We start from the raw sequence: 15,364 nt of genomic DNA, 5'->3' as shown, positions 1-15,364 counted from the left end.
CTCTTGCTGGTTATACCCCTCCTCCACCTAAACATGTTCCACCAGAGAGGGGTCTCTGCCAGCCTGGGTCAGGGACTTGGTGAGAATTGCATGAAAGCTGGGCAAGATCACACACAAACTTTGCATCCGTGTTAGGGGTGCCCAGGTTTCCTCAAGGCCATCCAGGGACTCTCAAAGGCAGTGGCCTCAGCCAGAGGGAGCATGAGAATCCGCTAGAGAGCTTGTTACCTGTGCAGGTACCCCCCTCCCACCCCTAAGTCAGCAGGCCTGGGATGGTCCTGGAGTCTTCATTTTAACAGTTACCCCTGTGATTCTGAGGCTGGGGTCCCTGAACTGCACTTGGAGGTGCACCCCTCTAGAGGCCTCCAGGCCATTAAGGACCCATGGCCTATAGGATCAAGCCCTGGCACCCTGCCAGGTTGTCAGGTACTCTTAGTACTTGGACCTCACCCCCTTTCTACTCCCATCTCCACTCCATTCCTTCACACTCTGGTTGGCCCCAGAGAGTCCTGATTTTTCACCCTCTCTGCCCCTATGCTATTCCCTCTCCTGGGATTTCCTTTCTGCCTGAAGGGTTGCTGCTCCTCCTTCAAGGCCCAGCTCCAATGCCACTGCTCTGGAAGGCCTCACAGACTCTCCATCTTCTGTTCCCCAGCGCCATCTGATTGTGCTTATGTTACAACACTTAGGGGCTTGCTTCCAAATGTGTTGGACTTTAAGAAGTTAATGTCACATTGATGACCTTGCATGTTGTTGATCTGATGAGAGTAAGGGAGGCCAGATGTGCTTGGAGACCATGTCCCAGGAAAGACTACTAAGAAACCAGAGTGCTCACCCTGGAGAAGTAGTACCTCCGGGGACCACAAGTGCTGTCTGCATCACTGGAGGCCTGTCGAGGGACAGGGAACAGAGCTGCCTGAGGGTCCAGAGCAACAGGTGGGTGTCACAGAGAGGCAGATCTGGGCCAGATAGGGAAGCATGGGCTAACTGCTTCCCACAACAGATGGATGCAGGTGACCTGTCAGAAATGCGCCAAGGGGCACAGGGAATGGTATTGGCCAGACAATCCAAGTAGTGGGGAGTGGCGCCCAGCTACCTAGGCCTTCGACTCAGAAAATTCGGATTCTGGCTCTGAGTCTTCCCCAAAGTAGCTGTGTGAGCTGAGATAAGTCACAAACCCTCCTTGACCTTCCTTTTTCTTATCTATGCAATAGAGCTATGCACTTCACTGATTGCCTGTGACCCAGGCCTGTATGAGAAAATGGAAATGAAAGTGCCTCGTAAACAATAAATGGCTCAGCCTTCCTAAACAAAACATGAAACCCAGAAGTCAGAAATGAAAAGACAACAGATTTGACTACACACAGTAAAAACTTCTGTGTGAATACACAAACCAAAAGAACATTAGCAGAGAAGTGGCAAACTGATGGAAAATATTTTCAGCATTTCTGATAATTGGGTTAGCAGACATAATACAGATAACGAATAGTTCAATAAGCTGGGTGCAGTGGCTCATGCCTATAATCCCAGCACTTTGGGAGACCAAGGCATGCAGATCACTTGAGGTCTGGAGTTCGAGACCAGCCTGGTCAACATGGTGAAACCCCACTTCTAGTAAAAATACAAAAATTAATTGGCCGTGGTGGTGGGCGCCTGTAATCCCAGCTACTCGGGAGGCTGAGGCAGGAGAATCGCTTGAACCTGGGAGTCAGAGGTTGCAGTGAGCCAAGACTGCGCCACTGCACTCCAGCCTGCGTGATAGAGCGAGACTCGGTCTCAAAAATAAAGAAATAAATAGTCCAATGAATCAATAAAGACAAAAAAACGGACAAAGGATATCTGTAGAAGAAATACCAATAGCCAATACACACATGGAAAAAATGTTTATTTCATCACTCATACAGAAAATGCACATGAAACCTCAACGAATTAACATTTTTTCCTACCAGACTGCGAATAATTTTAAAGATCAGTGATATCCCATGTCAGCAAGTGTACGGTGATGCTGCATTTCTCACACACTGTTGGTGAGAATGCACATCCTCACGGCCTTCTTAGGGGAACAATTTAACAATATCTCCATGTTTTAACGTACCTACCCTTTGACCCGGCGATCCCACTTCTATGAATGGATCCTGCTCCAATGAGAGTGTATTTACACAACGATTCATGTGCAAGGATGTCCACTGAGCATTGTTTGCAATGGAGAAAAATTAGAAGGAACTAGAGTGTCCATTTGTTAGAGGAATGGTGAGATAAATTATGGTACATCCATACGATGAGATACAGTGAAGCAATTTTAAAAATATGGTAAATCTCTATGAACTAATATGGAAAGATTTCTAAGATGTGTTGAATGATTAAATAGCATAGGATACTATTTTTAAAACTATAAAGTAGGGATGGGATGGATGGGTGGACAGATGGATGAGCTCGTCTGTGCCCAGGCAAATGCTAGGAAGAGTATACACACACTCTTACAAGCAGTTGAGGCGGGGAGAGAGGCTGTGATTAGGTGAATAAGGGTTTGGGGGGCCTTCCATTTATGGGGACAGTGTATCTCTTTATGGATGAATATCTTACAGTGACCACTAGTATTAAAAAAAAAAAAAAAAGAAGGCAAGGAAAGCAAGCAAGGAGTGGGAGGGGATTGCCAGCACCGCCACTCTCTGCCTGGGTCCCGTGACGGCTGGTGGCAGACTGGTGGACCTGCTGATTGCCTTTGCTGTTCATTTCTTTTCAGATGCCCTTCTTTCTCTTCCCTGCCTCTGCCTGGCAAAATCCAACCTTCCCAGGCCTACCTCTTCCCTTAGCTCACTCTATCAGTTAGCTGTTGTTGCATAGCAAACAACCCTACAAAGCTGCAGTGACATATACCAATAAACACGTATTTCTCTCTCATCTACAGTATTCAGCTGATCTGGCTGGATTGCTAGGGTTTTCTCATGCATCTGGGGCAACTGGGGACTCTGCTTTAATCTAGCCTTGGCTAGGATACCTTAGCCATGCCAGCTCAGGCGCGTCTTTCTCATAGTGATGTTAGCAGCATCCGCAGGCAAGGAGAAACATGCAATGCCTCTTGTGGCCTAGGCTTGAAACTGGAACACCCTCACTTCCATCTCATTCTATAGGCCAAAGCAGCACCTGCACGACCAAGCCCAGATTCAAGGGGTGGAGAAATAGGTATCACCTTTTTTTTTTTTTTCTGAGAGCAACTGCTAAGTCACATGGCAAAGAGATCGGGTACTGAAAGGAATGAAGAATTGGGACCATTCATGCGATCTCCTTTGGATACCATAAAGAGGGGAGAGACAAACCACAGAATGGGAGAAGGCATTTGCCACCATGTAACCAAGCATGCGTATAATTGTGCGTAGCTGTATTTCACTTGTTTATTTGGTTTATATTATACTATTATATAAATACTACTTTTTACTATTCTATTATTGATGGATATTTCATTTTTTTTTCCAGTTTGAGCTATTATGACAAATGCTGCTATGTATCTTAGTACACTTGTGCACACATTTCTATTGCACGTATGCCTGCCAGGGAGTAGAATTTGTTGGATGGTAAGATATTGCATTTTCGTCAATCTAAGTAAATAATGCTAAACTGTTTTCCCAAGTGGTTGTATCAATTTATACCCTTACCAGCAGTGTATGAGATTTCCTGTTGCTCCAAATCTTAGCCAACACTTGGTAAGGGAGTTCATTTCTGTATATGTTGTATAGCCGGAAATGAACAGTACTTTTAAAAAATAATGGTTAGCCACACGGTGAAAGCCCGTCTCCACTAAAAATACAAGAAATTAGCTGGGCGTGGTGGCGGGTGCCTTTAGTCCCAGCTACTCGGGAGGCTGAGGCAGGAGAATGGCGTGAACCCGGGAGGCGGAGGTTGCAGTGAGCCGAGATTGGGCCACTGTACTCCAACCTGGGTGACAGAGCAAGACTCCGTCTCAGAAAAAAAAAAAAAAAAAAAAAAAGGTTAGCCAATGATCTTAGGTTCACTTAAAACTGTCTTTCCCTCCCCCATCCCCACTGGTTCTATCATCTGTCAAGTGTCCATATGATCCATATCTAGGAATTTTTTTTTAAGAGATGGGCTCTCACTATGTTGTCCAGGCTGGACTCGAACTTCTGGGCTCAAGGGATCCTCCTGCCTCAGCCTCCTGGATAACTGGCACGGGTGCGTCCCACAGTGCCCAGATACTACGATCTTTATTTTGTACCACCAGTCTATTTGTCTATCTGTGAGCCAACATCAAACTGTCTTAACTATCTTTATAATATTTCTTGATATCTATTATAGAAAGACTTCCCTTTTTTCATTTTCTTTAAGACTGTCTTGGTTATTCCTGGCCCTTTACATTTTTTTCCCATTGTTTTATGAAAATTTAATTTACACACAATAAAATGGACCCTTTTTAGTCTACAATTCTGCTACTTTTGACAAATGTATATAGTCATGTTTATCATTGTCACAATGAAGCTATATTTCCATCACCAAAAAATTCCCCAACCCCCCACCCCCCTGCCGGTTCTTTGAAGCCCTCCCTCCATCTCCAGCCCCTGGCAGCCAATGATCTATTTTCTATCTGTTTACAAGAGTGTCATATGAGTAAGATCAAAGAGTATGAAGCCTTTTGAATCTGGCTTCTTTCACTTAGCATAAAGAATTTGAGAGTCATCCACATCGTTGTGTACATCAGAAGTTTGTTCCACTTAATTGCTGAGTAGCGTTCTATTGTATGGATATACCACAGTTTATTTATCCATTTAACAGCTAAGGGACATTTGAGTTGTTTCCAGTTTGAGCTGATTACAAATAAAGCCACTAAAACATTTGCTTAGAGGGCCTTTTGTGAACATCAATTTCCATTTTACTTGGAATGCCTAGGAGTAGGATTACTCAATTATGGTAGGAGTTTTCTTTTTAAAGTTATGAATTATGGTAAAAGTTTCCTTTTTAACTTTATAAGATACTGCCAGACTGATTTCCAAAGTGGTAGCTCTTTTGCATCCTGACTACCAATACATATATGAGAGTTCTATTAATAGTTGTTCGTGGCCAGGCACGGTGGCTCACGCCTGTAATCCCAGCACTTTGGGAGGCCGAGGTGGGCAGATCATCTGAGGTCAAGAGTTTGAGATCAGCTTGGCCAACATGGTGAAACATGTCTCTCCTAAAAATACAAAAAAAAAAAAAAAAAAAATTAGCTGGGTGTGGTGGCGGGCACCTGCAATCCCAGCTACTTGGGAGGTTGAGGCAGGAGAATCGCTTGAACCTGGGAGGTGGAGGTTGCAGTGAGCCAAGATCATCCCACTGCACTATAGCCTGGGTGACAAGAGCAAGACTCTATCTCAAAAAAAAAAAAAAAAAAAAGTTGTTTGTATTCTCATCCTTATCAGCACTTGAAACTGTCAGGTTTTCTGATTTTTGGTTTTAGCCATTTAATTAAGTATGTAGTGGTATTTCATTGTGGTTTTAGTTTGTATTTTCCTAACAAATATTGATATTGAGCATCTTTTATATGGCAAATTATCTTATCATTTATATATATTATTTGTTCAATGTTTTCCTTGTTTTTACTGAATCATTTATTTTCATATTGAGTATTGAAAGTTCTTTATATACTCTTGATATAAGTCCTTTATAAGATATGCAATGTTGAATATTCTCTCTTGGTCTGTATTTTGTCTTTTAACCATCTATTTAAAAGAGTAGAAGTTTTAAATGTTGATGAAGTCCAATTTATAGATTTACTTTTTAAGGTAAGCCAAGTGAAACAGTGGGAGTGGAGAAGGAACAAAGAAACCTGTAACTGGTTGTGATCAATTTGTTGTAAACACCACTGCACTCAGACAGCCTATTTTTTTTTCTTTTATGGATTATATGGATCTTTTTAAATGTTGTGTTTAAGAAATCTTTCCATAACCCTCAAGGTCACAAAGATTTTCTCTATTTCTTGTAATAGTTGTATGGTTTTGCATTTAGGTCTTTGATCCATTTTGAGATAATTTTGTATAAGGCTTAAGTTAGAGATCAATGTTTTCTATGTTTGTTTGATTTTTATTTTTTTCTTTTTGCATGTGGATAGCCAGTTGTTCCAGTACCACTTTTTGGAATGCCTATTCTTTATTCATTTAATTACTTTTGCAACTTTGTCAAAAATCAATTGGCCACATATGTGCAGTTCTATTTCTGGACTCTATTCTGTTCCATTGATGTACATGTCTATCCTTTCACCAGTACTATATTATAGCTTTATAGAGTCTGTCAACCAGGTAGTATGAGGGCTTCAACTTTGTTCTTTTCCTAAATTATTTTGGCTAATCTAATTCCTTTATGCTTCCATATAAATTTTAGAATCAGCTTGTCAATTTACACAAAACTTCTTGCAGAGATTTTGATTGGCACTTTGTTGAATCTGTAGGTTAACCTGGAGAAGAATCAGCATGCTCAAAAATATTGAGTCTTCAAACCCACAAACATTGTATATCTAACCATTTATTTAGGTCTCATTCATTTTCTTTTCTCAGTGTTTTGTACACAGTATGCAGATCTTGCACATATTTAGTAAGATTTATACCTAAGTGTTTCATGTTTTTTTCAGTGCTATTGTAAATAGTATTTGTAAAAAATAAATTTCACTTTTAATCTGATTTTTGATATTGACCTTGTATTCTGTGATCTTGCTAAGTTTACTTACAGTTCTAGTAACTTTTTTGTAGATTCTTTGGCATTTTCTATGAAGACAATCATTTCATCTCCAAACAGAGACCATTATATTTCTTCTTTTGAACTCTTTTTCTTTCACTTTCTTTCTTTTTTCTTTCTTCTTCTTTTCTTTCTTTCTTTTTTCTTTCTTTCTTCTTCTTTCCTTTCTTTTCCTTCTTTCCTTCTCTTTCTCTCTCTTCCTCCTTCCCTACCTCCCTTCCTCCCTTCTCCTTCCCCTTCCCCTTTCCCTTTCCCTTCCCTTCTCCTTCTCCTTCCTTCCTTCCTTCTTTCCCTTTCTTTTTTTGAGACTGAGTGTCACTTTGTCACCCAGGCTAGAGTGCAGTGGCATAGTCCCTGCTCATTGTAGGCTAGACATCCTGAGCTCAAGTGATCAGCCTTCCAAGTAGCTAGGACTATAGGTGTGCATCACCATGCTAGGTTCTTTTTAAATTTTTTTGTAGAGACAGGGTCTGCCTATGTTGCCCAGGCTGGTCTCAAACTCCTGGACTCAGGTGATCCTCCTACGTTGGCCCCCCAAAGTGCTGAGCTTACATTGTGAGTCACCACACCTGGTCTATTTCTTTTTTTGCCTTACTACAGTGTCTAGGATCTCCAGTACACTGTTGAATAGTTCAGTATAATGTTGAACAGACATCCTTGCCTTGTTTCTCATCTTAGAGGGAAAATATACAATCTTTCACCACTAAGTTTAATGTTAGTGGTAGGGTTTTTACAGATGCCCTTTACCATATTGAAGAAATTTCCTTTAGAAATGAACATTGAATTTTGTCAAAGCATTATTCTGCAGCTATTAAGAAGCCTATGTGATTTTTAAAATCTTGATATGGTAAATTATAGTGCTTGATTTTTGAGTGTTGAACGTTTCAACCTTTAACTCTTATAATAAATACCACTTGGACATGATGCATTATCCTTTTTATATATACTTAAATTTGATTTGCTAAGATTTTCTTCAGAATTTTTGCATCTATTTTCATAAGGGATATTGGTCTATAATTTTATTTTCTTGCAATATCTTTGTGTGGTCATGATATTGGGATACTGCTGGTATCATACAATGAATTAAAAAGTCATCTCTCCTATGCTATATTCTTAAACAGTTTTTGTAGAATTGGTATTCTCTCTTTCTTTCTTTCTTTCTTTTGAGATGGAGTTTCAGTCTTGTTGCCCAGGCTGGAGTGCAATGGCACGATCTCAGCTCACAGCAACCTCTGCCTCCCGGGTTCAAGCAATTCTCCTACCTCAGCCTCCCAAGTAGCTGGGATTACAGGTGCCTGCCACCATGCTTGGCTAATTTTTGTATTTTTAGTAGAGATGGGGTTTCACCATGTTGGCCAGGCTGGTCTCGAACTTCTGACCTCACATGATCCGCCCGCCTCGGTCTCCCAAAGTGCTGGGATTACAGGCATGAGCCACTGGGCCAGGTCAGTATTATTTATTTCTTAATTGTTTGGTAGAATTTGCCAGTAAAACCACTTGAACCTGAAGAGTTTTTTTGTTTGTTTTTGGTTAGAAGGTTTTTAACTACAAGTTTAGTTTTTAAAAATAGATACAGGACTGTTCATGTTATCTATTTCTTCTTAAGAGAATTTTAGCAGTTTGTACCTTTCAAATAATTTGTCCATTTTATGCAACTTAGTGAATTTGTTGGCATAGAGTAGTTCATAGTATTCCCTTATTATTCTTTTAGTGTTGGTAGGGTTGGTATTGATGTCCACTTTCCATTCTTGATATTTGCAATTTGTGTTTTTCTTGTTTTTTTTTTTTTTTTCTCGGTAAATGTTATTACTTTTTTTTCCAGTGAAAAAGCTTTTGGTTTTATTAATTTTCCCTAACTCTTTTGTTCTGGATTTTATTGATTTCTGCTCGTGTCTTTATTTCCTTCCTACGGTCAATTTGGATTTAATTTGTTCTTCTTTTTCTAGTTTCTTAAGGTGGTAGCCTTAGACCATTGTTTTCTTATCCAATTCAAAATATTTTCTAATTTTTCATGTGACTTCTTCTTTGACTCTTGGGTTGTTTATAAGTGTGTTTAATTTCCAAATATTTTCAATTTCCCAGATACCTTTTTGTTAATAATTTCAAGTTTGATTCTGTTGTGATGCAAGAAATACTTTGCATAACTTATTTAAACTTTTAAAGATGTATCTTAAGTGATAGAATATGGTATATCTTGGTGAATGTTCTATATGCCCTTGAGATGAATGTGTATTCTGCAATTGTTAGGTGGATAAAAATCAATTAGGTCAATCATTTACGATTTTATTCAGGTTTTCTATAACCTTGCTGATTTGCTCTCTACTTGTACCACCTACAACTGGGAGAAGGGTGTTACAAGAGATTTTTATATCTCTCCTTTCGGGTCTATCAGTTTTGTTTCATGTAGTTTGAAGCTCTGTTCTTTTTTTTTTTTTTTTTTTTTCCAATTTGAGAGCAGGTACTGTTTATTAACCAACCAGCTTAGAAAAATAATCATGGTAGACACCTTAGTTCATTCTTCTAATAAGCCTGTTGATCTGGTCCTCCCTGTTGCCAGCATCTCCACCTTCTACAAAATGGGTGGTCTTTTTCTTCATTCCACCTCGTGGAGAAGACAATTTGAAGGGCCACAGGAAGTTATTTGCCTCTTTGAAGCGTTTTCCAACAGTATAGATCTCATGAATCAAATCCTCCACGCAGATGATGCCGTATTTACCAAGAGATCGAGCAATCAAAGCGTTATCTGTCAAAGCAATTCGCTTCTTATTGATTTTGCCATAACCACGCTTGTAGATTAGTTCATTTACTGACTTCAGATTGGGGTACCCCCATGCAATATATGGCTCTACAATCCTCAGCATGTTAATCGAAGCCTTGTTGAGCTTCACAAAGGTTCCATTGAAGATTTGACGAAGGCGAAGAAGCTGCAACACCTTTCGAACCTTTGGGCTCACTCCATTGATACCTCTGATTCTGATGACAAACGCCAATTTGGGTTCTGCAGGTACATAGAAGTTGCCAGCTTTTCTTGCCATCCTCGCCATTCGAATTTCAGTCCTGTACATCTGCCTATATTCCTTGTGATAGTGCTTTGCTTTTTCATAGATAAGCTTCCTCCTTGCCTTTCGAAGCATCTTTTGGGCAAACTTCTTTCTCAGGCGCTTCATCTTCAGCTCTGCGAAATTCCTTCGCTTTTTCTTAAGGGTTTCTGGCACAGCAGGAACCTCCTTCTTCTTCTCTTCTACACCCTCCATGGTTCCAGCCGGAAAAAAAAACTGAAGCTCTGTTCTAAAGTGCATATACACCCAGGATTGTTATGTCTTCTTGTAAAATTGATTCTGTCTTCACTATGTAATGTCCCTCATTATGCCTGGAAATATTTCTTGTTCTGAAGTCTATTTTGTCTGATATTAATACAGCTACTCCAGGTTTCTTCAAGTTTTATTTTATTTTTGATTGACACATAATAATTGTACTTTTTTTTTTTTTTTTGAGATGGAATTTCACTCTTGTTGCCCAGGCTAAAGTGCAATGGCTTGATCTTGGGTCACTGCAACCTCTGCCTCCCAGGTTTAAGCACTTCTCCTGCCTCAGCCTCCCAAGTAGCTGGGATTACAGGCACCTGCCACCACACCCAGCTAATTTTATACTTTTAGTAAAGACAGGGTTTTGCCATGTTGGTCAGGCTAGTCTCGAACTCCTGACCTCAGGTGACCTGCCCACCTTGGCCTCCCAAAGTGCTGGGATTACAGGCGTGAGCCACTGTGCCCGGCCTCAATAATTGTACATGTTTATGGAGTACAATATGATGTTTTGATACATGTGTATATTGTGTAATGATCACATCAGGGTAATTAGCATGTCTATTGCCTTAAACATTTATGATTTCTTATGGTGAGAACATTCAAAATCCTCTCTTCTACCATCTTGTTAGATGTTTTCTATTCATTCTATCTGGTCTTCTTTCTTTCCATCTTTGTCTTCCTTTGGATTGAGTATGTATTATGTCTCCATTTCATTTCCACTATTGGCTTATAATTTATACCTCTTCAAAAATTTTTAAGTTATTAAAAAGAGAGAAAAATTTTTAGGGAGTGTCCTGGGTTTTACAACTTACATCGTAAATTAATCAAAGTCTACCTTTAAATGATAAAATGTTACTTTAAATATAGCATGAGGGCCGGTGCTGTGGCTCACACCTGTAATCCCAGCACTTTGGGAGGCCGAAGCAGGCAGATGACCTGAAGTCAGGAATTCGAGACCAGCTTAGCCAACATGGTGAAACCCTGTCTCTACTAAAAATGCAAAAATTAGCCAGACACGGTGGCAGGTGTCTGTAATCCCAGCTACTTGGGAGGCTGATGCGTGAGAATCGCTTGAACCTGGGAGGTGGAAGTTGCAGTGAGCCAAGATCACGCCACTGCCCTCCAGCCTGGGTGACAGAGTGAGACTCCATCTCAAAAAACAAACAAGAAAAATAAATATAGCATGAGGACCTGACAAGAGTAGACTGCACACCCTTTCTTCCCGTTTTTCATAGTGCAGTAGTTCCCCCTTATTGGCAATTTCAGTTACTTGTGATCAATCCATGTCCAAAAATATGAAGGTACTTTGAGAGAGAGAGAGAGACTACATTCACGTGGCTTTTATCACAGTGTAGTGTTATAATTGTCTTATTGTATTATTAGTTATTATTGTTGATCTCTTACTTTGCCTAACTGATAAACTTTATCATAGGTATGTAGGTGATATGGTTTGGCTGTGTCCCCACCCAATTCTCACCTTGAATTGTAATAATTCCCACATGTCAAGGGTGGGGCCAGGTGGAGATAATTGAATCATGGGGGCAGTTTTCCCCATACTGTTCTCGTGGTAGTGATTAAGTCTCACGAGATCTGATGGTTTTATAAATGGGAGTTCCCCTGCATATACTCTTTTGCCTGCCATCATGTTGGATGTGATTCTGCTCCTCCTTTGCCTTCCACTATGATTCTGAGGCCTCCTCAGCCATGCTGAACTGTGAGTCAATTAAACCTCCTTTCCTTTAGAAATCACCCAGTCTTGGGTATGTCTTTATTAGCAGTATGAGAACAGACTAATACAGTAGGTATAGGAAAAAAACATGGCATATACAGGGTTTAGTACTATCTGCAGTTTCAGGCATACACCAGGGTTACTGGAATGTATCCCCTGTGGAGATTGCTGTAAATGCATATGTGAAAGTGAAATGTATGACAACAATATGTTTCACTTTTAATCTGCTATAAATATACAATGCATTGCTACTACTTTTGCTTTAAATCAGAGATTGGCAAACTATAGCCTGTGGACCAAATGTAGCCTGCCTCCTGTTTTTGTAAATAAGGTATGATTGGAACATAGCGTGCTCAATAGTTTATGTATTGGCTATGGCTGCTTTTGCACTGCAATGGCAGAATTAAGCAGTTGCCCCAAAGACCGTATGGCCACAAAACCTAAAATACTTACTATTTGGTCCTTGACAGGAAAAAAATTTTTCAATGTCTGTTTTAAATAGTTATCTTTTCAAGCATTTAAAAAGCAATCATATTTTTTATGCTTACCTTTATTCCATTTCCAGCACTTTTTATTTTTTAATGTATATCCAACTTTCTAGCTGGTATCATACTCCTTTTACCTAAAGAACTTCCCTTAGGATTTTTTTTTTTTTTTTTTTTTTTTTTTGGTAGTATGGGTCTGCTGGCAATGAATTCTCTTAGTTTTTGTTTGTCAAAGATAATCTTTATCCCTTCTCTTTTTTTGAGATAAAATTCACATAACATAAAATTAAACATTAACCATTTTAAGGTGTACAACGGCATTTAGGACAAATACAATGCTGGGCAGCCATCACCTTTATCTAGTTCCAAGACATTTCATCACCCCAAAACAAAACCACCTCCTCATAAGCAATCACTCCCCATTCTCCCTTGCCACATCCCCTGGTAACCACTCGTCAACCGTCTGCCTCTACAGGTTTACCTGTTCTGGATGTTTCATATAGATGGAGTCGTATGACATTTTGCTACTGGCTTCATTGACTTAACACAGTGTTTTCAAGGTTCATCCACAGTGTAGCAGGTACCAGTATTTCATTCCCTTTATAGCTGAATAATATTCAATTGTATGGACACACCACATTTTGTTTAGCTGTCAACTGTTTCCACCTTTTGGCTACTGTAAATTGTGCTGCGTTGAATATTTGCGTGCATGTATTTATTTGGGTCCCTGTTTTCCATTCTTTTGGTTTTACCTAGAAGTGATATTTCTGGATCATATGACAATTCTATGTTTAACTTTTTGAGGAATTGTCAAACTGATTACCATAGCAGCTGCACCATTTTTCATTTTCACCAACATTGTACAAAGGTTCCAATTTCTCCACATCCTCACCAACACTTGTTATCCGATTTTTTTTATTATGATGATCCTAGTAGATATGAAGTGGTATCTCAAGGTGGTTCTGATTTGCACTTCCCTAATGACTAATGATATTGAGTATTTTTTCATGTGCTCTGGAGAAATATCTATTCAATGTTTTGCCTGTTTTTTAAAAAAATTATTTTAGACTCGGGAGTAGATGTGCATGTTTATTACATGGGTACATTGCATAATGGTGAATTTGGCTTCCAGTGTACCCAGTACCCAAATACTGAACACTGTACCCAATAGGTAATTTTTCACTTCCTTTTTGCCCTTTCCCCTTTCCTTCTATCCTTCCACTTTTGGAGTCTATTCTTTCCATCTTTATATCCGTGTGGACCCTTTGTTTGGCTTCCACTTATAAGTGAGGACATGCAATATTTGAATTTGCCTATTTTTAAATTTAATTGTTTTTTTGTTGTTGTAGGCAACACTACAACTTTCATTCTTTTTTAAAATTTATTTTCCCATAAATATTTATTAATTGTGAGGGACAATAGAGTGGCTTTAGCTACATATTGCGTGATTCTACATACATTCTTTAGCTACACACTGTATGATTCCATTTATATGACATTATCCTGTAAAGCACAAAGACATTGTGGAAAAGGCAAAACTGCAGGGATGGAGAACAGATCCGTGGTTGTTTGGTGTAAGGGGTTTGGGGAGGGCTTTACTATAAAGGAGCAGCATGAGAAACATTTTCTAGAGTGATGGAGCTGTTCTATATCTTGACTACAGTGGTGGTTACATTGTTATATATATTTGTCAAAACTCATAGAACTATGCACCAAGAGTGATTTTTGCTGAGGAAACACTACAACTTTCATTCTGTATATATTCTGGATATATTTATTTATTGTGGATATAAATATTCATTCTGTGTGTTTTTATTCTCTTGACAGTGTCCTTTGATGCACAAAAATGTTTAATTTTTATTATGTCCAATTTTTCTTTGGTTGCTTGTGCTTTTAGAAACATATCTGAGAAATCATTTCCAATTCCAAGGTCATGAATATTACCTTTATGGTTTCTTTTAAGGTTTTAATAATTTTAGCTTTTATATTTAGGTCTTTAATTCATTTTGAGTTAATTTTTATATGTGATGTAAAATAAGGATTCAACTTCATTCTTCTGCATGTGACTATCTAGTTCTTTTAGCACCTATGTTGAAAAAACTGGTCATTCTCCATTGGATGGTCCTGCCACCCTTGTTGAATATCAGTTGTCCATGAATGTGAGAGTTTACTTCCTGACTCTCAATTTTATTCTATTGATCCATATAGTTATTCTTATGCTGATACCACACTATTTTGATTTCTGTAGTTTTATAGTAGGTTTTGAAATTGAAAAGTGTGACTCCTCCAAGATTGTTTTGCATATTCAATGTCCCTCGAGATTCCATATGAATTTGAGAATCAGCTTTTCCATTTCTGCAGAAAAAGGCTGTTGGGATTTTGATAGGGATTATATTGACCCTATAAATCAGTCTCACTTTGAGAGTACCGCTGTCTTATTAAATCCTCCAACTTATGAAAACAAGGTGGTTTTTCATTTATTAAGGTCTTCTAAATTTCTTTCAACAGTGTTTTGTAGTTTTCATTGTAAAGTCATGCATCTCCTTAGTTTATTCCAAAATATTTTATTTTTGATACTATTGCAAATTAAATTGTTTTCTTAATTTCCTTATTGGAGTATTATCAGTACTATAGAGTTACGTATGTTGATCTTGTATCCTGCAGGTTTGCTGAATTTGTATATTAACTCTAATAGTTGCTTTTTGTAGATCTTTTAGGATTTATCTATATATAGGATCATGTCATCTGTGAACAGAGATAGTTTTACTTCTTCTTTTTTAATTTGGATGCCTTCTGTTTCTTTTTCTTCCTGATTGCTCTGGCTAGGACTTCCAGTACTATGTTGAACAGAAGTGGCGAGAACAGGCATCTTTGTCTTGTTCCTGATGTAAAGGGACCAGCTCTCAGTCTTTTACCATTGAATTAGTTGTGCTTTTTCACATGTGCCCTTAATCACGTTGAGGCTGTTCCCTTTTATTGCTAGTTTGTTGGGTGGGTTTTGTTTTGTTTTGTTTTTAATGAAAGCATGTTGGGTTTTACAGTTACATCAAGTGACATGATCATATGAGGATTTTTTTCATTCTATTAATGTGATGTATTACCCTGATTTTCATGTGTTAAACCAC

At 38.8% G+C, this 15,364-nt stretch overlaps 1 protein-coding gene and 1 pseudogene across 5 annotated transcripts in view, besides 4 other annotated features; one reads left to right on the top strand and one right to left on the bottom strand.

Annotated features, from left to right (window-relative positions):
- The window catches only part of CSF1R (colony stimulating factor 1 receptor), a 60,071-nt gene that overhangs the window by 9,090 nt on the left and 35,617 nt on the right, over positions 1-15,364 (top strand). The window contains exons 1-2 of one of the 5 annotated variants that reach the window (NM_001349736.2): positions 11,654-11,739; positions 12,715-12,819. The exons of 3 other annotated variants lie outside the window; for them this stretch is intronic. The gene's annotated coding sequence lies outside the window, so the exon portion shown is untranslated. Of the gene's footprint in view, positions 1-11,653; positions 11,740-12,714; positions 12,820-15,364 lie in introns of those variants that run through there. One more of the 5 variants, NM_001375320.1, reaches the window with a different exon arrangement.
- Positions 9,162-9,991, bottom strand: RPL7P1 (ribosomal protein L7 pseudogene 1; annotated as a pseudogene).
- Positions 11,190-11,790: a DNaseI hypersensitive site, noted in NCBI's record as "-6197 to -5988 DHS region; the nucleotide coordinates are approximate for this feature". NCBI's record gives the evidence for it as "EXISTENCE:in vivo cleavage assay evidence [ECO:0001075][PMID:20436485]".
- Positions 11,190-11,823: a biological region, named in NCBI's record as "LTR-CSF1R promoter". NCBI's record gives its function as "regulatory_interactions: CSF1R".
- Positions 11,467-11,823: a mobile genetic element.
- Positions 11,504-11,665: a promoter, noted in NCBI's record as "-142/+14 core promoter". NCBI's record gives its function as "drives expression in Hodgkin/Reed-Sternberg (HRS) cells of Hodgkin's lymphoma" and the evidence as "EXISTENCE:reporter gene assay evidence [ECO:0000049][PMID:20436485]".

Source organism: Homo sapiens, chromosome 5 (assembly GCF_000001405.40).
Source record: "Homo sapiens chromosome 5, GRCh38.p14 Primary Assembly".
Lineage (NCBI taxonomy): Eukaryota > Metazoa > Chordata > Mammalia > Primates > Hominidae > Homo > Homo sapiens.
Note: the sequence above shows the minus strand (reverse complement) of the source record. Positions and strands in the feature narration are given on the sequence as shown.